Here is a 27,122-nt window from a genome sequence, read left to right as displayed (position 1 = left end):
TTTAAAGACATTAATCAGGGCCAGGCATGGTGGCTCATGCCTGTAATTCTGGCAATTTGGGAGGCCAAGGTGGGAGAATCACCTGAGCACAGGAACTTGAAACCAGTCCTGGCAGCATAACGAAACCCAGTCTCTACAAAAACAAAACAAAACAAAATCTGGGTGTGGTGGTGCACACCTGTTATGCCTGCAGTTCTACCTACTCAGGAGTCTGAGCTGGGAGGTCACAGGAACCCAGGAGGCTGCAGTGAGCTATGCTCATGCCACTGCACTCCAGCCTGGGAGACAGCATTTTTCAAAAACAAATTATAAATTAAATAATAAAATAAGGATAAATAAATAAAGACATATAAACTGTGCTCCTTGTAAAAGATAAATCTATGCTCCCTTAGTGAAGAAGATGAGAATAATGGATATAGCAGGGAAATGGACAGAATTGGCCACATTAGACCATAATGAAAGTCATAATAGGCACCCCAAATCGGTACCAGTAAAGCCACATAATGTGACCATAATGCAGGCAAATTGTGACCAATTAAAACAAACTGACAAAAAAAGGGTATCCTGGAGCATACGAATTCTAAATCTAAATTGAATGGATCTCAAAGAGGGCTTCACATTGAAAATAAAACCATGGGTATGTAAGTGAATTGTAACAAAGCTACTACATAGCAACATTAAGGTGGCAGAGCAGAAAGGGGGCTAAGACAGATATCTGTCATTTTATACCATTTTTTAAGAAAAGAAAAACTATAAAATTATGAATTTGGGTTCTAATTGAGAGATAAGACAACGATAATTGCAACAACTGTTAACATTTACAGTGCTTCAGTCCTGCTATGTGCTCATTCATGCCCAATAAGTGAAGAGCTGGAACTGAAAGCTTTATTATATTTATTCCCATTGTAGTCTCCCTCCAGAGTGCGGAATCATGTGTAACAGGAGGGTTAAGTGTTTAAAGAGGTCTTTTCTACATTTTTTACTTCCATAAGCAGTCTCTGCAGTGTGCGTTCTTGTATGAACTATGAGTCTGAGGCAACACTGAGGCTTTTTTCATGTTCCTTACTTTCATAGCTTCTCTCCAGTGTGAGAACAAATAGCTACTCAAGATGAATGAAGATGAATGAAAGGCTTTCCATAGAGTTTACCTTCACAGGGTTTCTTTTCACACTTCCGTAAGATATGAGAGTTCAGGAAAGATGTTCTCATGCATGTTAACTCATTGAGCTCCCTTCCAGTGTGTCCTCCTCACATGTTCAGTATGGTGAAAAATTAATGATGATTTTCCACCTTTCACTCACAGGGCTTCTCACTATTGTATCTCTTAAGGTGGCTTTTAATTCTGATGTCTTTGCAAAGTCTTTTCCACATTTGTCACATTTATAGGGTTTCTTTCCAGCATGACTCCTTATATGTGCATGTTTTGAGGCTTGCTGAAGGTTTTCCCACATTCCTTACATTCATAGGGCTTGTCCAGAATGTTCTTTCTTAAATGTTTATTAAGGTGTAGGGAATATCTAAAGCCTTTGCCACTTTTGACATATTCATAAGATTTCTTTCTAGTGTGAATTTTCATATGTCTTACAAGAAATGACTGATAAGTAAAGGCTTTCCCACATTTGGGACATGTATGGCTTTTCTCTCCAGTAGTACTACTGCTGTGTGAACCAGAATTTGGAGGAGGGGCAGCGGTTTTTCCACTTTGATGATTCTTATTCTTTGTCTCTACAGTACAGGACTGCATCTGCACAGCATGGACTGAGTTATTTCTGAAGACATTTTCATATCGAATAAAGTTATACATTTTCTCCCTAACATGAGTTATGTGGGCCCTAAGGCATACATCTTCACTGCAGGCTATTCCAAATGGACTCCACTCATGCATGTTTGCAGTTGTATTAATTTTACTATGTATATGATGGACATTGTTCTGACTGTCTATCCATGTGTTTGATTTTAGCTGTTTTTCTCCCATATGAAACCCAGTGAGTGTTGCACCTCAAGACTATCATATTCATTGTTTCCATACATATCACTTTATTTCAATAGTTTTTGGGAAACAAGTGGTTTCTGGTTACATGGAAAAGTTATTTGGTGGTGATTTTCTGAGATTTTGGTGTATGCACTACTCGAGTCGTGTACACTGTACCCAACGTGTAGTCTTTCATCCCTCATCCCCCAACCTTCCCTCCGAGTCCCCAGAGTCCCTTATATCATTCTTATGTCTTTACACCCTCATAGCTTATCTCCCACTTATAAGTGAGAGCATACAATATTTGTTTTTTTATTCCTGAGTTACTTCACTTAGAATAATCATCTCTAACTCCATCCAGATTGCTGCAAATGCCATTATTTCATTCCTTTTTAGGGCTGAGCAGTATTCCATGGTGTATCTATAACACATTTTCTTTGTCCACTCATTGGCTGATAGACATTTAACCTGGTTCCACATTTTTGCAACTGCAAATTGTGCTGCTATAAATGTGTGTACAAATGTCTTTTTCATATGACTTATTTTCCTCTAGGTAGATACCCAGGAGTGGGCCAACACAAATTTAAATAGAGATAATTATAAAATAAAGTAATCACCAAGTGAAAATTACTATTTCTAGTAGTAAAACAAAATACATTTATTGAGTAAATTTGAACATATTTCTGCTCACATAAAGAATAAGTAACTTCTGTATTTTGTATAAATGATATGCTTTATCTCACTAGACTTATCCTGTGGTTAATTTGTGGAGGAGGGCAGGAGAAAATAACATATCTTTAAATTTAGCTTCTTGATTCACATTTTTCTTCAAGTTTCAATAGCTCTATTTTAGGAAAATGCCTCCAAGAAGATATTCAGATGCTTTGGGCTTTCTGTGGCCTCAAGGCAAAGTGAAAGTGAGTCTCAAGCCTCTTATTGTCTTCATGCTGTTCTCTGGATCTCTGCTTTCTCTGTGGCAGAGGATCTCTCTGGTCTGATCGCTGAGGCCATTGCATTGCTTTTCTCTGAGATGAAGCTTGTACTCTTGAATCAGAGTACAGTGGAATTCCCTGCCTCCTGTTGGCTTGGATAAGATCTTCAGATCTCTCTGAGTTTCAGCATCCTTCTTCTTCCACAGTGTGGCTGGCATTGTCACATGTGGCCTTTTTGGCCGGCTCATTTTGCCCCTTGGTGCAGTGGCCCCATGTTGTGTATGTTAGTTTTCAACTCAGTTAAGTTGCTTCCTATTTACCTCTATGACACTTCCACATTGCATAGATTCATAGGTCTAGCAAGAGGTTTTTTTATATAAACCAAGCTGCCAGAAACAGAAGAATGCTCACACAGTAAGTCAGATAAACCAAATTTATTACTCACAGAGGAGCAGGAAGAATCAGCAAAAGCCTAAGTTCTATGGCAAGCCTGACCCTTGAGGTCAGAAAAGTTGCCCAGGGTTGATGGAGTCTCCTCTGCACATGCTCCACTGTGTACTGCAGCTGAGGAACCCCTGAGTGCTCCGCCCTAGGTTTCACACCCCATGTGCTACTTGGCTCTCTGAGTTTAAGAGTTGCAGGAATATCCTGTTCTAGGAACAACAAGGGCAGAGCCCAGACATTCCCAGACAATTTCTCCTTATCTCAGGATATTGTCTTCTCGGAACATTCTAAAATTATTCTGAGAACCAGGAGGTACAGAAAGCTGAGTTTGTCAAGGCCATTCAGGTCTTGTCCTCCTGACCACATAAACAAAGTAGGCTATAAAACAATAAGCATTAGCAGAAATAATCATATTGCATTATCATAGCCATTCTTTATTATGATAAAAAATTTATCCACCAAAAAGTTTTCTGAATTCTAAATCTGAATGAACCCAATAAAACAGAGATTTGGGCCTGTTGTTACAATTTAATAAAGGATTTACTAAACCAAAAAATTTACTTAAATACATAAACTCTGGAAGGAGTATAAAAATCATAAAGATTCATTTCAATAAAGGCTGGTATGCAAGGTTATCAGACATGTGACAGAGTAGTAGAAAGTGTTGACAATGCTTAGGGCACAGTGAATATGATTGATTTTCAAATGAACAAAGAAGATAGTCAACTCAACAGAAAGATGGGCCAAAAAATTCCAATACATTATTAACAACATGACAGATGCAAATGTGCACAATAAAATGAGATCTGTATTTTCACCACTCGCTTAGAAAATATAAGAATCCTAGATAACGTTGTGTGATGAGGATATGAGGATAACAACCTTTATGGGCAATGGATGGGAAATTCAATGGTTTTAAACATTTCAGAAAATAACATGACAGGACCCCTTTGAAAGTATGCATACTCTACAACCTGTCTCAATGACGGTCACATATACCTGATATAGTTTGTATGTGTGTCCCCTCCAAATCTCATGCTGAAATGTGATCCCCCATGTTCTGGAGGTGGGGCCCAGTGAGAGGTATTGGATCGTGGGGTGGATCCCTTATGAATAGTTTAGCACAGGAATGTCCAACCTTTTGGCTTCCCTGGACCACATTGGAAGAATAATTTTCTTGGGCCACACATAAAATACACTAAAAATAGCTGCTGAGCTAAACACACACACACACACGCGCACACACACACACACACACACACACACACACACACACACGGAATCTCTTATGTTTTAACAAAGTTGACAAATTTGTTTTGGGCCACATTCGAAGCTGTTTGACCTGCATTCAGCCTGCAAGCTGCAGGTTAGACAAGCTTGGTTTAGAACCATCCCCTTGTGAGTGACTTCTTCTCAGTGAGGTCATGAGAGATCTGATTGTTAAAAACAGCCTGGGACTGCCCCCTTCTCTCTCTTACTCCCTCTCTGACCATGTGACACACTGGCTCCCCTTCACCTTCTGCCATGATTGTAAGCTTCTTGAGGCCTCACCCAGAGCAGATGCCATTGCTTCCTGTGCAGCCTGCAGAACCCTGAACCAAGATAAACCTCCTTTTTTAAAAAATAAATAAATAAATTACCCAGCATCGCGTGTGTCTTCATAGCAATAGTAACAGACTAATGTAGACCCTGACAAATTGTGACACGTGACCAAAAAGTGTTTTCATAAGAATACCACAAGGAAGTGAATATTTCAGTAGCAGGATATCAGTGTGAATTCTACTGCAAGACTGGATAGGGAAAATGCGGTTGATTCATTTTGTCCAAAACTATGCAGCAGCTACAGGGGAATAAACAACCAAAAATAACCTACAGCAGTGTGAGAATATATGGAGGATGTGATGCTCTGTGAAAAAAATAGAAATAAAATTAGATTTATAGCATGATACTCTTTAAGAAAAACGTATACACTTTTGTATATACACATACACACACTCAGAAAACAACCTTCTTATCTTGTAAGAATTCTTTAAGAGTAAATAACTTATATCAAACACATTAGCATGCCTGTCTGTGACAAGGGATAAAGAATAAAAAAATTGAATAAGTAAAACCAGAAAGAAACTTTTAGGAAACAATAATAATAATGTCTCATGAAGTAAAGAATATGATTAATTTTCTGCAATTGTGGTATAAAAACAGAAATTGTCAAAATCACATGTAATGAGCTTTAGCATAGAGCTTATTGTAGGGCAAAAATCAAATTTTAAAGACTTAGTTTGCATAGTTGGATGGAGGAATGGTCTCCTATGTGAAGTAGTAAGATACACGAAACCATCCCATGGGTGTATGGGAAGAAAATACTCACTCAAAATGCTACTTATATTTATTGTTTACTCATTTTTCCAACAGTTTAGTATCTAAATGCTAGGGGAGGCCAGATGTGGTGACTCACACCTGTAACAGCAGTGCTTGAGGGTGGGGGGCAAGGCAGGAAGAACACTTGAGGCCAAGAGTTCTAGGCCAGCCTGGGCAACGTAGTGGGTTTTTGTGTCCACACACAAAAAATAAAAATTAGCCAGGCATGATGCTGTGCACCTGTAGTTCTATCTACTGGAGAGGCTGAGGCAGGAGGATCACCTGAGGGAGGAGTTTGAGGCTGCAGTGAGCCATGATCAGTCTACTGCACCATAGCCTGGGTGACAGAATGAGACCCTGTCTCTTAAGTGAAAATAAGTAAGAGCTAGGAGACTACATGATCTTTCTAGTTTTCAGCCCTTATTGCAGTTCCCTGTAGATTATTTTGCTTATTCCCAATGTTCCAGGTGTTTCTACATTGTAGGCTAGTCCTTCTACCTACTCAAGGCCCCACATCCAGCAAATGTCCTCAGAGATGGGCTCTGCTGCTAATCTGTGATCACCTAGGAAAGGCTTATTTTTCTCTGAAATTTAGTTCATTGTAACTTTAGGCCCATAGTGTTTTGATGGCTTTAAACAAAAATAAAAATGTTTAAGTTCATCCGATGTCTTCTCAGTATGGCAGGAGCAATTGCTAGAGCCAGGCTTTTCCAATGATACTTAACTGTCAAATAATTCTATTCAATTTTTCATGGGACTTAGGGTTTGGTCCATGAAGTGTTGCCATGGTATGCAAATCAATTATGTCAATAAGCATGCTAGTTCATTCAGCAAATATATTCTTGTAGCAATAGTTACTCAATGAAAGAACTAATATATTTAATTTCTAGTAGAAGCTACTTCTGTCATTGTGAACTGGTTACAAACCTTGAATGCTCTAGCTATTTTGAGGAGCATTAATAGGCATTACCCAAAGAAGATGATATATTCCCTAGACAGCAAGAACTTTTATTCCTGTTTATCTTCTTTTTGATAAACTCTACAGTCTCTTCATAGTAAATCCAGATTCTGTGGGATGTACAAAACAATCCCCCATACATTTAAATTTATGCCTATGATCATGTGTAATGAAATTAGCCCTCAAGAGCCAACTTGAGACCATGTTCAGAATGGAAGCTTCAGAAACCTATGGCACATGAATATAAGACCATTTTAGACACAGTCCCCAAATTACCTCTGAATTCAGTCGGAAAAAAGTGACAAGGAACAATTTTTAGGGCATCTAGGATAGTGCTACCTTCTCATGCCTAACATAAGCAAATTAAAACCTCATACTAATGCTCTGAAGCCTAATAATAACTAGTAAGGTTCATGTCTGTCAAAAAGCCACTGCAGGCTACTGTTAAAACCAGCTACACAACCATCTGAAAGCCATTTGCCTCCCTCTAGTTAAAAACAGTCCCATGTCTACTGATGATGTAGTTAAGGCTGTATCAAGATCTATCTCTCAGCAGGGACCTGTTCCCCAAATGCTAATGTTTGACCAACAGAAGTTTTGCAACCAGAGCTTGTGCAAGTATTGGTAGATAGAAAATACAAAATCAAACCGTTTCTCATGAATGATTAAACAATTAAAAAAATGAATGCAAGAAGCTTGTGTGCATGTGCATGGGTGTATGCATGTGTGTGTATATTCAGCTTTGTTAAATTTATTTAACTTTATTAACTTTGTTTAAAATTTAATTTGAAAATTAGATTGGGGAGCAAAATATCATTCTTTCTCTCTCATCATAAAACTTTTGGCTCATGGGATTCTGACATTCTGTCATGCTTGGAAAAGTTGGATTTATGAAACCAGTAGCTGGACTGAGCCTGCCTATGCAGCTCTTACACAAGTGCTTCCTATTTTGTGCACAAGCAGCCTCAAGAGCCCAAAGATAGTGATTGAGAGAGACAGGCTCTGAAGCCTTTTTAATTCAACTTCTTGGAATCACCACCTTGCTAATAAACATCAAAATCTTCTGTGTCATTTATCAGATTAATTACTTTTTCCATAAAAAGAGTGAGTTGAGAAAATAACAAGCAAGAAACTCCCTGTCCCTTCTTCATCCTGAAAACAGGAGAATCAATATTACTTAACCCTGTTTTTGAGAGATGAATGGGTAGGTCAATATTGCTTGGCTATTTGTCCTTCCACTTGGGAGAGATTACTGCTGCATTTTCCCCTCAATCTCTAGAATCATGGCTTATAGAAAACAATTATGTACTGAATTACAAATTGCATCAAAACTTTATTAGACTTCTTATCAAAGAGCATGCTCAGATTTATTATTAATAGTAATAAAAATATAAAAATTTAAAAACAATATTATAAGTAACAGAGAAAAGCTATGCACTGCTATGAAAGCCTTTCATATTTAGGGATATCAGGTAAGGCTTCCCTTGGTGGGGAAGATGAAGAGCAAACTAAAATAAAAGTAAGAGCTAATTATACAAATCTGGGATGGTAGTGGGAAAAGCATATGAATAAGAAGACCAAAGTCCAGAAGGCAAGAAAAAATATATCTGAATATATCTGAAGAGTTGTCATACTTGTGATTCCCAGCTTCGTGTCGTAGATGTGCCACCGGGTCCTGGGAGCCGCCATGCCCACCTGGCTGGCGCACTTGCTTGTACCCATCTGGAGGCTGATGGTCGAGTGGTCCATGGGGGGCAGGATGTTGTTCTTGGGATCGTAGAGATGCCTCCTCGTGCTCTGCCGTACACAGTCGTGCCTGACTGGCTGGCGCGTTTGTTGGTAATCTGCAGCCCGATGACGCACTGGCCAGCCTTCATGGTGGCGTCGTCGAAGTTCCCCTCCTGCTTCTCTGAGTACTCCTCACGGATGTCCACCTCGCTCTGCAGCCCCTTAGTCTTGGCCTTCCCTGCCAGGGCGAGAAGAGACACCTGCACCTGCCTCACGTTCCCACTCTAAAACAGGTCGTTAGTCTCAAATAGGTCCACGGGGTTCATGCTGTAGCTGACCATGGACTTGAGGAGGTTGGAGAGGGTTTCTAGCTGGTACCAGTTCTGCTGAAGCGGTTGATTTTGGGGACTGAGCCCGGCTGCAGTTTGTTCATGAGTGTGCATAAGATAATCCCGTCCTTCAGGCCCTTCTGGAAGTCGGGACTCACTGGGCCGATGGAGAGGCCGGTGAGTCCCTAGATCCAGCTGCGGAGCTCTACCTCCTTCTGCGAGTCATATATGGACAGGAGCCGGTTCTGGACGTCCGCCAAGAGCCTGTAGGAGGGGCCCTTGTTGAACTGCGTGGAGCTTACAGCTGGCTGGCCCCGCGGCGGGACGGGACCACACGGGACCGGGGACTGTCTTTTTTCTAGTTTGCAAGATTTTGTTTTCACCACACCATTGTTTTTACTACATATCTTTTGTGTATTTAAAAAATGTGTGAAAAATGTTAGACCATCCCCCTTTTTTCCACCTTCCCTTTACCCTTTACTGTGATTTACATCCACACATCCACACACACACACATCCACACACACACATGCACACACACATACTGAGCGAAATTAATTTAGATGTACGAATGGGTTATTTGAAGCAAAAAGTCAACCTATATTAGTAAAAGTGTCATGCCAGTGGGAATTACATTTATAATCCTTTTAAGAAGAAAGAACTTCCGGCCGGGCGCGGCGGCTCACGCCTATAATCCCAGCACTTTTGAAGGCGGAGGTGGGCTGATCACGAGGTCAGGAGCTCAAGACCAGCCTGGCCAAGGTGGTGAAACTTCGTCTCTACTAAAATTACAAAAAAATTAGCTGGGCTTGGTGGCATGCGCCTGTAATCCCAGCTATTCAGGAGGCTGAAGCAGAGAATTCCTTAAACCCGGGAGGCTGAGGTTGCAGTGAGCCGAGATCGCGCCACTGCACTACAGCCTGGGCGACAGAGCGAGACTCCATCTCAAAAATAAAATAAAATGTTGAATTTTTACAAGTCATTGTTCCTATTCTAATTTTTGAATGCAACCACAGCCTCTAACAAAACAGCCTCCTTAAACTAATTCGCTGATAATGAATTCTTAAGTAAAAGGGGGAGTTCCACAGAAATATATATGGCTCTTTTATATTTAATAAAAGAGCCTGAAAAACAGATGTGTTCTGTAAAATTGAATTACTTTCTATCCAGTTCCACTGGTTCGCAGTTGTTTTATCTTTATATTAAAATATACATAAATGATTGATTGATGAATTTTTTTCTTTTAGACACTGCTGCTGAATCCATGGAGAGAAAAAGGATAAATTTCCAGAACTATGGTCCCTGTGCTCCAGTTCACCAGGCGGGCGCGGCGGAGACGGAGACCAAGGAACACGGCTGGGGCGATGCGGCGCTACCCGCACGTGGTGGCGCTGTGTCTGGCCTGCGGCTTCTGCTCGCTCCTTTACGCCTTCAGCCAGCTCCCCATGTCCCTGGAGGAAGCAGCAGGCGGTGGTGGCGGGAAGCAGCAGGCCTCAGTGGCTTCCTGGCTGGCAGGAGGCGGATGCGGTGCCGTGAGAGGCGCGGGCAGCGCTGGTCCCGCTGTGCATCCTGGTGGGTGGGACAGGTGTCGTCTGAAAATACAGCCTGTTGAGAAAATGCATCTAGCTGTAGTTGCCTGTGGTGAAAGACTGGAAGAAACTATGACCATGTTGAAGTCAGCTATCATTTTCAGGATCAAAGCTCTTCAATGCCAGGTTTTTGCTGAAGATCAGCTACATCATAGCTGTAAAGGAAGACGTGACAGGGGTCATTTCTGCAAATATTTAATTATACAATATACCCCATAACCTTTCCAAGTGAGAATGCATCAGCATGGAAAAACTCTTTAAACCATGTGGTCCACAGAGATTGTTCTTGCCGTTATTCCTGAAAGAAGTTGACTCCCACACTAATAGCCTTTTTTACGACCAGTTGATCATATTTGTTCTTTACTAAAGAAATTTAATTCCACATAAATTGCTCCAGTGGCCTCAGAACACAAGGAACCTCAAATAAGATGGTATAGTCGCTTTGCTAGGCAACCATACTGTGGAAAAACTGGAGTAAACCCTGGAGTTATGTTGACGAATATGACTCAAATGAGAAGGAAGTATTTCAAGAATGATATGACAAACTGTGTGACTACAATGAGGAGATATACTTATGACATGGCTTAAAGAATACAAACTAAACATTACATGGACAATCAAGATTTACATGGGCAATCAAGATTTGTTGGATATCATGTTTTTTCATAATCCAGAAAGTCTTTTTGCCTTTCCGTGTCAATGGAATTATCATCCAGATCATTGTCTATATGGAAGCAGTTGCCAAGAAGCAGAAGAAGGAATCTTGATTCTTCAGGGAACAGAGGTGTTTACCATGATGATAAGCAACCAGCATTTAGAGTTGTTTATGAAGCACTGAGAAATTGTTCTTTTAAGATGACAACATTCATTCCCTAATAAAACCTTTAGAACTGGAACTACAAAAAGCAGTGCATACATACCGTGGAAAAATTTACAAAATATTTGTCAAACAACTAACAAAAAGCATAAGAGATCATTATGCTGGATCACCAAAGGAAAGGTGATTCTTGGTGCCTGCTACATCAAATGGATGAAAACAACAAAGCATTGGAGGATAAGTGTGAAGGAATCATCTTGGGTGAAGCATTAATGAAGGAATTATTCATCTCCAGAATATTTTTTTCCCAAAGAGGTTAAATGAGCAGTATTTTCAGGTAATGAAGAATAAATTAAAATCTTGGGCTCCAACAAAGAAACATTTTTGGCCTCTGATGTTTTGTAATGTTACTTACTACCATTCCAGTATTGGTGAAAATATTATTGAATGGTTTTAGCCCGCAAACTTCTGCTGACTCATACTCTCAAGTAAGAGTGCTGGGGCTGTGCAGATGAAGAAAATGTATCTCAAGCACAGTGCAAACTTTAACTTTCTTAAAGTCAGCACTGACCTCGCTTTAAATGTGTGAAAAAAAAGTCTGTTTACAGGAGAAGAAACAGTTCTGTTTCTAAAGAAATGTAACGGATGTAACCATGGATGATCTATGTCTGCCTTTATACATTTCATCTCTGTTTTAAAATATTTTATCACAATCATGTTTAAAATTGTTTTTAGATTATAAGTAAGCTGCATGTTAAAAATTGAGCTGTATAAGAAAGAGGAAATACAGTGAAAACTTTGGGGTTTTAATCTGTGCATGTGTGAGAGAGAGTGACAAATGTAGTGTTTTCATTGTGTATGCATTAAACTGTCTTGCCAAAACTCAGATCTAAGATTGTTAAGTAGATATTTGGGGAATTTTTTTATCACTTTAAATGAAAAATTTCAGCTTTACTGGGCATTCTGGAAGCAAAATATATTATGCTGATGATAAAGTGAGAACCTTAAGAGTATACTCATTTGATGGTGGAAAATGTGATGGACCAAAATTCAGAAGCTATACACATCCTGTGAGTAGTAATTTTAGTTACGATGGAGTAGAAAAATGTGGTGCATTTAAACTTTTCTTCTACCTCATAATGGCTTTGCAAGATACTTGTAAAGAAGCAAATGTCTAGAGCCTTACTTTAAGACAGTTAATGAACTCAAACAAATTTACAAGAAAAAAACAAACAACCCCATCAAAAAGTGGGCAAAGGATATGAACAGACACGTCTTAAAAGAAGACATTTATGCAGCCAAAAAACACATGAAAAAATGCTCACCATCACTGGCCATCAGAGAAATGCAAATCAAAACCACAATGAGATACCATCTCACACCAGTTAGAATGGCAATCATTAAAAAGTCAGGAAACAACAGGTGCTGGAGAGGATGTGGAGAAATAGGAACACTTTTACACTGTTGGTAGGACTGTAAACTAGTTCAACCATTGTGGAAGTCAGTGTGGCGATTCCTCAGGGATCTAGAACTAGAAATACCATTTGACACAGCCATCCCATTACTGGGTATATACCCAAAGGACTATAAATCATGCTGCTATAAAGACACATGCACACGTATGTTTATTGCGGCACTATTCACAATAGCAAAGACTTGGAACCAACCCAAATGTCCAACAATGATAGACTGGATTAAGAAAATGTGGCACAAATACACCATGGAATACTATGCAGCCATAAAAAATGATGAGTTCATGTCCTTTGTAGGGACATGGATGAAATTGGAAATCATCATTCTCAGTAAACTATCGCAAGGACAAAAAACCAAACACTGCATGTTCTCACTCATAGATGGGAATTGAACAATGAGAACACATGGACACAGGAAGGGGAACATCAGACTCTGGGGACTGTTGTGGGGTGGGGTGAGGGGGGAGGGTTAGCATTAGGAGATATACCTAATGTAAATGACGAGTTAATGGGTGCAGCACACCAGCATGGCACATGTATATATATGTAACAAACCTGCACATTGTGCACATGTACCCTAAAAGTTAAAGTATAATAAAAAAAAAAGAAAGTTAAACAACTTTGGTGAATGATTTGGATTAAGATTGTTACATCCAGCTATAGAAAATGTGGTTTTAATTGGGTTGATGTATCTTCCTTTTTCAAATATCACTTAAAACAGTTAATTTTTTAGTTCTTGAAGATGAGAAAAATATTACTTATCTAATATAACTATGTTAATAGTTATCTAATTTAAAGTTATCTAATATAACTGTAAATTCTGAATACTTAGTATGGACTGTGCTGGGGCAGATATCTTATTTTACCAACTGCTATATGGTTATCTTCTTTTTCTTCCTGATATTTTAATGCTCAAGTAGAAAATGGAAAATCATGAAGGGACAATATCACCTGCGAAAATCATGGCAGTTAGCTTTGTGAAGACACCGTGGCCTCTGTGGAGACATGGGATATTCAGAAAGAGATGGTTAGTACAGTTGTTCTGTCTTCTGAAGTTCAGTCAGGGACACATCGAGAGAGGAAAGTTTAAGCAAGGTACATTAGAAGTTGATAAGCAGCCCAGCATTCTTAGAACAGATGGGTTTAGAGAATACAAGTTGTAGTTCCTTGGCAGAATGCCATGGTGGATATGAGAAACTGTGAACTGCATTGAAATTGAGCTTACTGAGCAGAAAACGAGAATACTAAAAATTTGAAGTTCAGAGGATATGCATTAGGTTATTTCTAATGGTCCCCAAATATGATCATTGCCTGCCTGGCTATATAAGACTCCTGTTGGGAGCTTCAGAATAGATTCCTGAGCTTAGCCCTTTGGAGACTCTGGTATGCTGTGTCTGGGATGGAGTCTGCCAAAAAAAATTTAAAGAAGAGACTTAAAAATTATACAAAACTAAAATAGTGCTTTGGTACTATCAGATTACTTTGGAGGCTATTCCCACTTAGATTCTTCATATGGAAGATGTGGATAGAGAGACATGCAGATAAATCAGTCAATGCCAACTGTTGGAGGAAACATCCATAGTCTGCAGGTTCCCACAGAGAACATAGCACTTCCACTCCTCTCCCATGAGGGAAAATAAAGGAGAAAAGCTTTCAGCCTCTCACCATAAACTCATTCAATCCTCCCCTTGGGAAGAGAAATGACTTACCTGAGAAATGTGCTTGGAAGTAGTGCTGGTGAAACTCAGCCTCTGTGGGTTTCTCTGTCTTTCAGAGTCAGCTCTCTTCAGGATGCACATTTATTTCTCCCTTTGGAGGAGGCCTCAGTCCAGCTCAGCCAAGGACTGAAAGGCACATCTGGCTAATTCAGGACTGGGGTATTGGGAAGTCCCTTTGGCCCCAGATCTATGACATGTTCTCGAGTCCTGAGACCTGCTGACTCTGGTGCTTCATTTCCCAGTTGGGTCATATCTTGGGGTTATTTGTGTTCCCAGCTCTAACAGGAAGGTTCCCAAGCACTCATTTCTTCTTAACCAATTTCTGAAGGTAAGATGTTGGTTGAAGAGAGCTCTTTTCTTGCTGCTACCATTAATTGGGTGTTTATTTTGTGTCAGGCACTGTTGAGTATTTTACATTTCTTAGCTGGTTTTATCTTTACAGCAACTTTATATGACAGACATTGTTCCTCCATTTTTCAGGCTAGAAATCTGAAGGGGTGGGTTGCCCCTCCACACCTGTGGGTGTTTCTTGTTAGGTGGAATGAGAGACTTGGAAAAGAAAAAGACACAATGTATAGAGAAAGAAATAAGGGGGCCCAGGGGACCAGCGTTCAGCATAGGGAGGATCCTGCCAGCCTCTGAGCTCTCTTAGTATTTATTGATCATTCTTGGGTGTTTCTCAGAGAGGGGGTTGTGGCAGGGTCACAGGATAATAGTGGAGAGAAGGTCAGCAGATAAACACGTGAACAAAGGTCTCTGCATCATAGAAAAGGTAAAGAATTAAGTGCTGTGCTTTAGATATGCATACACATAAACATCTCAATGCCTTACAGAGCAGTATTGTTGCCCGCATGTCCCACCTCCAGCCCTAAGGCGGTTTTCCCCTATCTCAGTAGATGGAACATACAATCAGGTTTTATACCAAGATATTCCATTGCCCAGGGACGGGCAGGAGACAGATGCCTTCCTCTTGTCTCAACTGCAAAGAGGCACCCTTTATGGGTGTCGGGCTGGGGGACAGTCGGGTCTTTCCCTTCCCACGAGGCCATATTTCAGACTATCACATGGGAGAAACCTTGGACAATACCTGGCTTTCCTAGGCAGAGGTCCCTGTGGCCTTCCGCAGTGTTTGTGTCCCTGGGTACTTGAGATTAGGGAGTGGTGATGACTCTTAAGGAGCATGCTGCCTTCAAGCATCTGTTTAACAAAGCACATCTTGCACCGCCCTTAATCCATTTAACCCTGAGTTGACAGCACATGTTTCAGAGAGCATGGGGTTGGGGTAAGGTTACAGATTAACAGCATCTCAAGGCAGAAGAGTTTTTCTTAGTACAGAACAAAATGGATTCTCCTATGTCTACTTCTTTCTACACAGACACAGTAACAATCTGATCTCTCTTTCTTTTCCCCACAGAAATCTGAGGCCCAGTGTCCCACAATGGCCATGTGGTGACACTAGGCTTTGAGCACAGATGGTTGACTTCCAAACTCTATGTTCCTAACCATTATGCCACTCTGTGTTGTGACAGCACCAAACATACTTTCATTCATATGTATTTTTTAACTGATCATGTTCTTGTGTGATTTCTTTCAGAAAGGCTTTTGCATCAAATATTGATAAAGATAATAATAATGAACACATGTTGAGCACTTACCATGTCTCCAGCACTGCTCTAGAGCTTTCCATGAAAAAGCCCCTCTAATCTTCAGAACAATCCTGTGAGGTAGGTGCTACTATTACTCTGTTTTCACAAGTAAAGAAACTAAGCACAGCAGATCCATAGTCATGCTGTAGGATGCTGTGTAGAATGGCTCATGGGACACTGGGAAAGCTCTTCTGCACCCCAGCATCCTCTTTACTGGTTCATTAATGTCTGATATTCCTGCATGAGAAAACACAGCATAGAGAGAAAGCTTAATGTGTCTATACACACACTGAGAGATAAGGCATTGACATAACATCTCATTATAGGTATTAGAAATGCAGTCTCAAGAGCAGGTTCTTGTGGGGTGACAGGCAGGGTATTCTAGGGGAAAGAATACCCCAAGAAAGGTAGCATTACAAAGGAAGAGGAGAAAGAAAGATGTAAATGAGGAGACACTGGTATTCTTCCACTGCAATTTTTCCCAAGGCTGGCCCCTTTTCTATTACATTGTTACCCAGTAACTCATACTTTCCCTAGAGCTCTTGCAAGCAAGAACTATTGAGAAAGTAGCCCATCTGAAAGTATATTTCCTGCTAGTTTTCTGCTTCCAGAACTGGCTGAAGTTTACTTTTTGGTACTCCAGAGACCTAGCTGCTTCTTGCCTTCTTCCAGTGTGGTCTATTTAATCTCCTGTCTTGTGGGAAATTATATTCAAAATTTCTGTGATCCTCTGTCCATAGTAAGTTACGCATGTAGTGACAAATGCATGCCACAAGGTCTTGAGATTATATCTGCAATGTGTTGCTGCTGGCTGTTGATCAAGATAGGCTGGAAGAAAAACATTTATCAAATAATTCTTCTTGCATTTTTCCCAAGACGTTGTAGCGTATTTAAACTTGGGAGGTGAAGTTTGTAGCATTCATTATGACTGAAAATTTAGTTCACACAATCATGATGCTCTATTAGGTGTTACCATTAAATAATATTAAAATACACACAATGTGGCTGGTCTTTCGTAAGCTACATGGCATGTTTACTTCTTTGCCTGGTTTCTTAATTGCATTTCTTCATCTTTCTGAATACCAGTGTCACTGTCACCCACAATATTTTCTGTTTTGAGTAAGTGGTTTACATTTTACTTTGCCCAGTGATAGAATATGATGGGGACATCTTATCTGAGTATTTCATAGTATGCTGTAGTTTGAATTCTTGGCCGTTGGTTTCCCAGAGTCCCAGCTCCTGCCACTGCATTCTGCCTTTGTAAATGGAGAATAATGGCTCTAAAAAAAATTCACATAAGAATCTCATGGTAGTGGAGAAGGAGGACCATGGAAATGCTAAAGCCTCCCACTCAGCTTCTGTAAATCATGCAGAGGATCAGGAAAATGATTGAAAGTAACGTATCCCAAACAAAGAAGCCAGCTGTGTAATTAAAGACCTGTGTCTGGCTGTTAAGGAAAGAAAAAAAAACAATGGAAAGAATAACCTTGCTATTTATCTTGTTCAAAAAACTGGAGCAGATTGAGTCATCTAGACCCAGTTTCAGATGAAATGTTAAATACTGATAGGGGCATATTCAAGATCTTTAGGATTTTTTGGGGGGAGGAGGGGGGAACATAAAAAAGCAACAATAAAGATAAATTTGAATGCAGGAAAAATACACATAATCCATGAACCAAACACCTGTTTTTGCATGTTTATCACCTTTGTCCCTATGTAGATCTATGTTTTATTTCATAGTTGCAGTCATAGAATATATTCTATTCTCTAAGCTTTTATCCTTTAATGTTATAGGAGAACATTGTTCCATGTTACCACATAGCCAAGTGTTTCAAAACTTGTTTAATAAATTCTGTGTTGTTGTTTTCACAGGGAGAAACATGCACATGTATATTACTTGTTTTTTTTTTCTGTTGAAGTATACTCTTGGAATAATTATTTTCAGTGAGGTTTTTGGTTCCAAAAAGTATAAACATTTTGGTGATCTTTAGTTAAGTTGTATTGCTTTCCAAAGAAGTGATAGAAATTATACTTGCCACCCCAACAGTGAAAGAGTAGTCATTTAATTTCAGTGTAACAGGGGATGCTACTGTTGCTATTATATTTTCTATTATAATGAAAAGATTTCAACCAAGCTGGATTGTCCTTCCGGAGCTGCCGCTAAATCAACACCTTGATATCTTTGTTCTGGGAGAAAAACGAGCTAAGGAGGAAGACCACCTAAAAAACCCATTAGACAATTTGTGCTCACTGGAGTGGTCTCTACTGGGCAAAAGGCTTTTAGAATGTCTTGTGGATCTTCTGGCAAGTGGCAAACCATACAAGTGCTACATCAGGCCTGGAAGACAGGTGCAGCCCTGTCAGGGTCAAAGAGGAACACCAGTGGCAGAAGAGCTAAGAGTGAATGAAAATTGAATTATTTCTACTTCTAGGACTTGTCTATTGAGAAACAGCAGCTACACACTCCAGCCTGGGCAACAGAAAGCCTGTCTTGGAAAAATTGCAAATGAGAAAGAGAACCCCAACAGCATCCAAGTCTGCTGATAAGCACGCTCTGAAAATGCATGACCAAGATCAGCAGCAACTTCAATGTTGCTTTTCTCAAACAGTAGCACTCTAAAAGGATGCACACAGCTTATTGATAATGAACACAAAAATTACCAAGAGATTGGTGGAGTAAATCTCTTAAATTTCTTTATTTTTACTTCTTCTCCAAATTTTGATGTGACATAGCTAATTTGAATATATGTCTCTTTCTAGATTCTACAGATAGCCTTAGAGCCCCACAAGGCATTTTGGGAAGTTGAAATAACAGCAGTTTCTACCTTACGGGAACCTCTAAAAATTATTATCATAATCATGACTTATTTTGTTGAATCCATGAAGCTTATGAGGTTTTAAGAAACTCAGGTTGGGCCGGGTATGGTGGCTCACGCCTGTAATCCCAGCCCTTTGGGAAGCTGAGGTGGGCGGAACACTTGAGGTCAGGAATTCAAGATCAGCCTGGCCAACATGGTGAAACCCTGTCTCTACAACAAATACAAAAATTAGCCAGGCGTGGTGGTGGGCCCCTGTAATCCTATCTACTCAGGAGGCTGAGGCAGGAGAATCACTTGAACCTGGGAGGTGGAGGTTGCAGTGAGCCGAGATTGCACCAGTGTGCATGATGGCCTGGGCAACAGACAGAGAAAAAAAAAAAAAAAAGAAACTCAAGTTGTACCCACTAGTTGCAGAGTGATTTTATTTTTATTTATTTATTTTGAGATGGAATCTTGCTCTGTCACCCAGGCTGGAGTGGAGTGGCAGGATCTTGGCTCACTGCAACCTCTGCCTCCCAGGTTCAAGTGATTCTCCTGCCTCAGCCTCCTGAGTACCTGGGATTACAGGCATCCACCACCATGCCCAGCTAATTTTTTGTGTTATTAGTAGAGACGGGGTTTCATCATGTTGGCCAGGCAGGTCTCAAATTCTTGACCTCAGGTGATCCACTCGCCTCAGCCTCCTAAAGTGCTGGGATTACAGGCGTGAGCCACCATGCCCAGCAGTGATTTTATATTTAAATGTGTGTTTTATAGGTTGCCTCATTTTCTGGTCATAGGGTCCCCATGAAGGAAGTAGTTTATTGCCATTTTGCAATAGGAAAGCAGAAATACAGGAGGGCAAATGACTTACCTTTGGTCATTCAGTCTGTAAGCAGGAATTGAGAGCAGGATCTCAGGTCCTCTGACCTTCAGCCCTGTGTTCTCTCTTTCACTTAGCTTTCCAGTTTCTTTATGCCAAGTAATGGAAGTGATTTGAAAGCTGCATTCTCAGCCTTTTGGAAAGTGGTTCACCAGAGGTGTTTCTTCACCACTCTCATTCTTTAATGTCACCTGACACCAAAGACCTCATGATGGGAAATACTGAATGTGGATTTGGCCAGTCTGCTGACACCATCCTGTCATGCATCCCAAAATTACCCAAGCTCATCCCTCTGATCAGAAGTATTTGTGAGGTGGAAGGTGGGGCCTTAATGGATAACCTTACTACCCCCCATGCACTGAGGTATGGTTGGCCAATGATCCTCATTGACATTTGGGGATTGTGTGTAGGATTATGAGCATCCATTTTGAGTGCTGAGACCTGAGACAATGCATCAAGTCAGGCAGAAGTGCGGTTCATCAGCATCTTGACAACATAGTCTATTCTCACGTGTTCAAGGCCTGAGCCACCACTGCCATCAAGCTGACTCCAAGTGGCTGCGTTTTCAGCGAGAGGGGAATAGCAGTCACCTATCAGCTTCTTGACTGTGTTCTGCTGGGCTTCCTGATAAAAGATGTTTATTCAGAGAGAAAGAGACAGGAGAGTGAGGTGGTACACAACCTGCTATCCCCAGACTTTGCACCGGTTTCAGAGTTAAGATCTTCTTTGAAGGCTCTGAAACCTGGGACAGTCCTTACCATGACTGAAACCTGGAGAGGAGATGTAGACAGAGGATCATTTTTGTGTTGAGTCACTAGGTGACCCTCTTCTCTTCTTTATAACAATGTGTGTTGTGCCTGGGCCCTTGTTAGGCCGTCTTTGTGTTATCTCTGGCTGTGACTAGCACAACATGTGTTCTCCTCCCACTTTCAGCCTGGAAGATCCAACTTCTGAGCCCTGAGTGATAAATCAGCTTCGTAACGGGAAGCTGACACCATCCTATCTTCAAGGGCTATAACTGGGCAGTTGCAGAGAGCCCTGGTCTCAGAAGCGTTGTGCACATGGTTTACAATGCTCTGCTGTTGCATCTTGAAATGCTTAATTTTTGAACAAGGAGCCCTGTACTTTCATTTTTCACTGGGCCCTACAATCTATGTAGCTCATCCTGCCAACATCATTGGCATCCCTGAGTATGAGAGTTCAGAAGAAACTTAGAGGCTATTGTCTGATTCAATCCTTGCAGCTTACAAAAAGAAATGTGGGAGCAGGCACTGCATGACTAGTCTGAGGTTACTCAGGAAGTCAGAGGCAGAGCTGCAGTCAGGGCCACCTCTCTTTACTGCTAGCTGTGTGCTCTTTCTACTGCACCCTCAGCATAAAACATCTCCCAATCCAGGAACAAGGTCTACCTCATAGGTGGGCACAGCAGCGTGATCACTCTCTCAGTCATCTGTACTCCTCCTTTGCTTTGACCAAAGAGACAGGAAGGGACCTTTTGCCCCACATAAAACACTTCTCAAAGGCTTGGCAACAACAATAGATAATAGAGAGCATTGGCCTAAGACCAATGTTTTGACCATGATGTCAAAACAATATTTTGTTTCAGCAAAGAAAAGCTATGTCACAAGTGGATTGTTATTACTAATAATCAGAGTAGTGGTACTTGCGAATAACTTGGTTTCATACTCACACTTGGACAACTATGCACACTGAGTATAACTGACCTTATGAGAACATCATTCTCACTAAGATTATGATGTGCTTTCTTGTGTGGGAACTGTACATAATATTGTGTGTACCCTTGGGAGGATGTCCTGCCTGTGATGTTGTCTATCAGGGAAGAAGAGTGGTCGAGAACTGAGGATATATTAAACATTTACTCCCAGATTTTTCAAGATTTCTGTTAAGCCAGATCAGAAGAAAGCCATCTATTTGGATTGCATCACTCTAACCCTTTAAGTTGAATTGTCTACACAGAATTATAATTTCACAGTATGTCCAGATTACTTACTGAGAGCCAATTTGAGACACCAACAGGACTAGTAAAACATCTTTGCACTGTGGGTCGCATTGCTATCAAAGACCTTGTACATTATGTCATTCAAGAACCTTTATATTAAGATTCTTATGGAAAATCCTTCCCAAAGTTTAACCCTATGATACAGGTTTTTTTTCCTCCAGGTAACATAGTGGAAAATTGGGAACTCTTTAACCCAATGCATTGATTTCATTGATTGTTTTGGTTGCCAAGAAGTATGGATGCTCAGAATAGGTTTTCTTGTTTTCAACTGCTAATTCCTTTATTTAAATTGTAATACATGTTTCCCTTTGTTTCTTTGCTTTTTCTTTTTAAGAAATTGAATGTATTTAATAATAAATTATAAATTATCAATAGATCAATTAGCATAGAATAGTTTGGAATAATGCTTAAAGATCCCCCATTGAAAAAGACCCCAGTAGCTTAGGGTTCACAGCTGAGTGTTAACTGAACTTTAACAAATTCTGATTTTATTTAAAACAATCAAAGCCTAGAAAAAAAACTCCTGCACATCATATGGGCCACATAATAACCATAAAAAAAAGAAAGAAAAAGGGGTGGCTTTCTTCAATTAATTTTATAGTGTAATATCAAAGCTTAATGGTTAATGTATTTCATCTAATGTAGGATGTCAATGTTTAGAAATCAGACATTATTTCATGTACCGTTATAGATATGCTGCCAATTAAACTGTGACTTCCTTAACAAAAGCAAAAAAAGGAATTGTAAAGATATTAAAACATGTAAAGAATAATGTAAGCACTATACTCAATTAACATGTTAATATTTTATTGTATTGGTTTTCAGTAATTATTTTCAATAACATAAAGCATTATTAGCTAATATTCCACCCCTATCACCCCAATCTCATTCTCCTTCTAGGTCCCCAGGGCCAATTGCTAAAATGAATTTGTTGTATATTTTAAAGTCCATTTTCTATACTTTTGCACATAAATATGTGCATTCATAAAAAGTATTTTTGTGCTGAGAAGGTAGAATAAGCCCTTCAAAGCTGTTGATGTTCAGATTCCAGTTGGCAAAAGTCTTACACATATGGCATTAAATATTTTCAGTATAAATATGCACATTCCACAAGTTCAGCAGTTCTGTAATATGCATCCAGAGTCTGCCCTGAGGGTTGCTTACAATCTTAGCATAAACTCTCACCCCTTTTAGAGAATAAAGCTTACACCTATGTAATGACCAGTCCAGGTACAAGGGTGTCTTCTAAGAACATTCATTCATATATTCAACAAATCTTTATTGAGCACCTTTTCATGCTAGGGAGGTGACCTGTGTTCTCCCTACACAACAGGAGAAAGTGGTGGCACTGGCAGGAAAGTGCAGTGGAAAGGAGGAGCTGACTTTGGCAGGAAAAAGAATGATATTACTTTGAATTTATCAACTCTGATGTGACATCCTGATAAAAAGTGCCATATCCAAACCACATTGTAGATTCTCAAAGGACAGCACGCAAGTTGAATAAAAACTGTGTGCCCCAAATAGGAAATGGTATAGAAAGGCCTGAGGCTGGGGTATGGAAGCACACGGTGTGCAGAGAACGAGGGAAGAGAAGAGTGAACAACTGCTCGGGGTGGGGTGGCATTGATGGTGAGAGATGGGTTTAACATGCATTTATGAGGACAGACATGATCAGGTTTAAAGAAAAAGAATTTTTTTTTCCAGCACTCCCACTATGGGGCATTTATCTACAGGAAAGGAAATCAGCATATTTAGGAGATACGAGCACCCTCATGTTTATAGCAGCACTATTCATGGTAGCCAAGATTAGAATCACCCTAAATGTCCAAAAACAGATAAATAGATTTAAAATGTAGTATATATTCACAGTGGAGTACTATTTAGCCATAAAAATAATGAAATCCTGTCCTTGGCTGAAACATGGGTGAGCCTGGAAGACTATGTTAAGTGAAATAAGCTAGGTACAGAATTGTAAATCTTGCACGTTCTCACTCATATGTGGGAGCTAAAAAAAAACAAACTGAGCTCATGGAAGTGGAGAGTAGAATTCTGGTTATTACAGGCTGGGGCAAGCAACAGGGAGGAGAGGACAGGGAGAGGTTGGTTAACAAATACGAACTTACAGCTAGATAGGAGGAATGAGTTCTAGTGTCTACAGCACTGTAGGGTAAATATGGTTAGCAGTAATTTATTGGATATTTTGAAAAAGCTAAGAAAGAGTATTTTGAATGTTTACAACACAAAGAAATGATAAGTGTTTGATGTGATGGATACGTTAGTTCCCCTGATTTGATCATTACATATATAGAAATACATATATTGTACACATATATTGAAATGTCACTCTGTATCCCATAAATATGTACAATTACATTTCAACTAAAAATGAAAAAAGCAGTAAGACTGAAATGATAGGCTTAGTATCAATTTATAGATGAGTCTTGATTTAGGGAAAGGAGATAGGTAGAGGAGAGAGATTTATGTCTGAGTGTGAAGAGAAATTTTTATTGGTTTTTGGTGAATACTGTCCAGTGAATTTCCTAGTTTAGAAGAATCACAAGGAGCTGGCAATGTAGTGTGGGCAAGTAGCTGGAGTGACATCAGAGGTCAGCTCTGTGACTCCAGCACTGGACTATTCTTTTATCAGGACCTGAAGCTCACAGTCAGATGCCCATGGCAGTAGCATCAACATATTGACGCTGCCACCACCATGGGTCCATCACCCTTCAAAACCATGATAGAAAGACCAAGACATGGATGTCCAGCTAATGGTTCTCAGATACGAAGGGCAAGAGACCTGGAGTGATATCCAAAATAAGCAAGAATAAGACCACATTGCAAGTTGTTTTCATCCATTGGAAAGCCTAAGAAGGGAACCAAGATGGCTCTCCAAAAGCTTTGTAACTTCAAACACTTCCCAGGATCCCCACTGCCATCTTAATGTTATTATCCAAGTTCTTTTTCCTGAACTAGCTGAGTTTATAAGCCATTTTTGAAAGTAACTGTAGCTATAGAAAACCATAGTTATAGGAAAATGCAATCTGTTGATCTCTTCATGGTAGTCTGTATATCATTTACACTTCACTTCTCTGTGGTTGGAAAAGCTTTTTTCATGGTTTATTTAGTGGGAAGTCATTTTGATCAGCAAGATGAGTAATACTTTACAGCTGTTTGCAATTACTGCCTCTGCTCTGCCAGGAGTTTTAACTATTACACAAACTGAAATACCAAATGAGTTGATGCAAGATGGGAAGAGAAATACATATTTCATAGGCCCATTCATTTCACCAGAAATTATCCATCACTTTTTCTTTCAATTCTATCTTTCTAAATTCAAAGTTACATCTCAAGGTAATTTTGAATTACCTAATTCCATAGGATTTTTATCAATGAAGGGAAGTGCACCTGCTAACACTAAATTTCCTGTTGTTGCCATTGGAAGGGCACCATTGCCTAAATTCCACACAGGTCTGAAGCCAGTTTGGCGAGGAGAAAGAACACAGGCCTTGATCTGCATATTTGTCTCTTTAAAACACCCATTCTTCATGATTTTAAGGAAAGGATCATGCTCATTATTTTCTTCCCTCCCAATCTTTCTAACATGGGCCCACATAAAACGTGTCCCCCTCCGCCAACATCCCTTCACACAAACACACACACACACACACACACACACACACACACACACACACACACACACTCTCTCTCTCTCTCTCTCTCCCTCTCTCTCCATCTCTCTCTCTGTCTCTCAGATGAGGAACAAGCTCAGGGGGAGGTCTTGGGATTAGTTCTGATTGGTTCTGATTGGGTCACATGCCCATCACTGAACCAGTGGAATGCTGCATGCTAATTGGCTAGTTCTGGGTCAAATGCCCACCACTGAGGACAGAGGAAGAATCAACTTGTTTAATCCACATGGATGGGCTGAGCTCAGGCAGAACTTCCAGCAAAACTTGAGTGCTGTTTTTAGAAAAATTAAATGGAATATATTTGAAATGAAGAAAAACATTATATCTCCACTCAGGCATTTCTCTTTCCTGGACAATTGACTGGAGGGTGCATGGGGCAAACTCATCCAGGCTGCAATGATTTATTGAAAAATGCCATGCTTATTCAAATGGACAACAATTCATAAAACTTGACTAGATCCAAAAGCCTGGCCAGGCGCGGTGGCTCACGCCTGTAATCCCAGCTCTCAGGGAGGCAAGAGGCGGGAGGATAGCTTGAGCCCAGGAGTTCGAGACCTGCCTGGGCAATATAGGGAGACCTCGTTCTCCAGAAAAAGGAAAAAAAAAAATACAAAAAAAAAAAAATAAGCATAACTCCCCTTAAAGCAACAACTCCCCCCCGCCACTTTTAAACACTCCAATGAAAGGGTAATGCAATGTATTAATACATATTAATAATTAACACCCTGGCCGGGTGCGGTGGCTCATGCCAGTAATCCCAGCACTTTGGGAGGCCAAGGCGGGTGGATCACAAGGTCAGGAGGTCGAGACCATCCTGGCTAACATGGTGAAACCCCGTCTCTACTAAAAATACAAAAAATTAGCCGGGCATGGTGGCAGGCGCCTGTAGTCCTAGCTACTCGGGAGGCTGAGGCAGGAGAATGGCGTGAACCTGGGAGGCCGAGCTTGCAGTGAGCCGAGATCGCACCACTGCACTCCAGCCTGGGCGACAGAGCCAGACTCTGTCTCAAAAAAAATATTATAATAATAATAAGTAACACCTACTCTTAGGGATACCCTGCTCTTCACTTAGCAGAAGATGTTAGACGATAGGCGAGCAATTGATCAAAAGGTCAGAGGATCACAGGCATTTCTGTGATGTAGCAAGCACTGAGAATAGCTGTGAATATCCCGGGAATTTTCTGTAGGTATCAATAAAGCAAGATTTTGGTTCCTGAACACTGACCTGAGTTCTAGTTTGGCAAACTTTGTGTCTTTTATTCACATTGAGCTCCCAGTATTTTGAAACAGAGGTTAATTCAAGGAGAAGACCCAAAGGATAAGGAAGGGAAACACTTTTTTTTCCACAAACTTTGTGATATGCATGTAATACAGACGTAGGGGTGAAAAGAATGCTGATAAATGTAACATTTTATTAACTAATGAAGCCTAAGGAAGAACATGTAAAGAGATCAGGATCTGATTTCAGATTTTACTTGCTCCTACATAGATATCTCAGGGAAATTCAAATAGATTAAGACTCAAACACAACCCACAAGAACATCGGCAGATGACATGCCAGGCACTGTGCCCAGAGCCTTCTCAAGCAGGGGCTTCTTGAATCCTCCCAAGGATTCTGGAAGAAGGGTGATATTCTCCCCTTCCACAGATGAGGAAACTGAAGTCAGAAAGATCAAGATCACAAAAATACTCAATGGTGGATCTGGTAAATGAATGAAAGTCTTCTAACACCAACTCTACCCTCTCTTTTCAGGACAAAATGTACCTTC

The 27,122-nt window shown here is 40.3% G+C and overlaps 4 pseudogenes, besides 1 other annotated feature; 2 read left to right on the top strand and 2 right to left on the bottom strand.

The window, feature by feature from the left end:
• ZNF965P (zinc finger protein 965, pseudogene) lies at window positions 1,297-2,006 on the bottom strand (annotated as a pseudogene).
• On the bottom strand, window positions 8,284-9,069 carry CNN2P12 (calponin 2 pseudogene 12; annotated as a pseudogene).
• On the top strand, window positions 10,837-12,205 carry GXYLT1P1 (GXYLT1 pseudogene 1; annotated as a pseudogene).
• Window positions 13,589-13,789: a silencer, noted in NCBI's record as "peak2059 fragment used in MPRA reporter construct". NCBI's record gives its function as "represses an SCP1 promoter by STARR-seq MPRAs in K562 erythroleukemia cells {active_cell/tissue: K562}" and the evidence as "EXISTENCE:reporter gene assay evidence [ECO:0000049][PMID:32103011]".
• On the top strand, window positions 25,823-26,016 carry BCYRN1P3 (brain cytoplasmic RNA 1, pseudogene 3; annotated as a pseudogene).

Source organism: Homo sapiens, chromosome 13 (assembly GCF_000001405.40).
Source record: "Homo sapiens chromosome 13, GRCh38.p14 Primary Assembly".
Classification (NCBI taxonomy): domain Eukaryota; kingdom Metazoa; phylum Chordata; class Mammalia; order Primates; family Hominidae; genus Homo; species Homo sapiens.
Note: the sequence above shows the minus strand (reverse complement) of the source record. Positions and strands in the feature narration are given on the sequence as shown.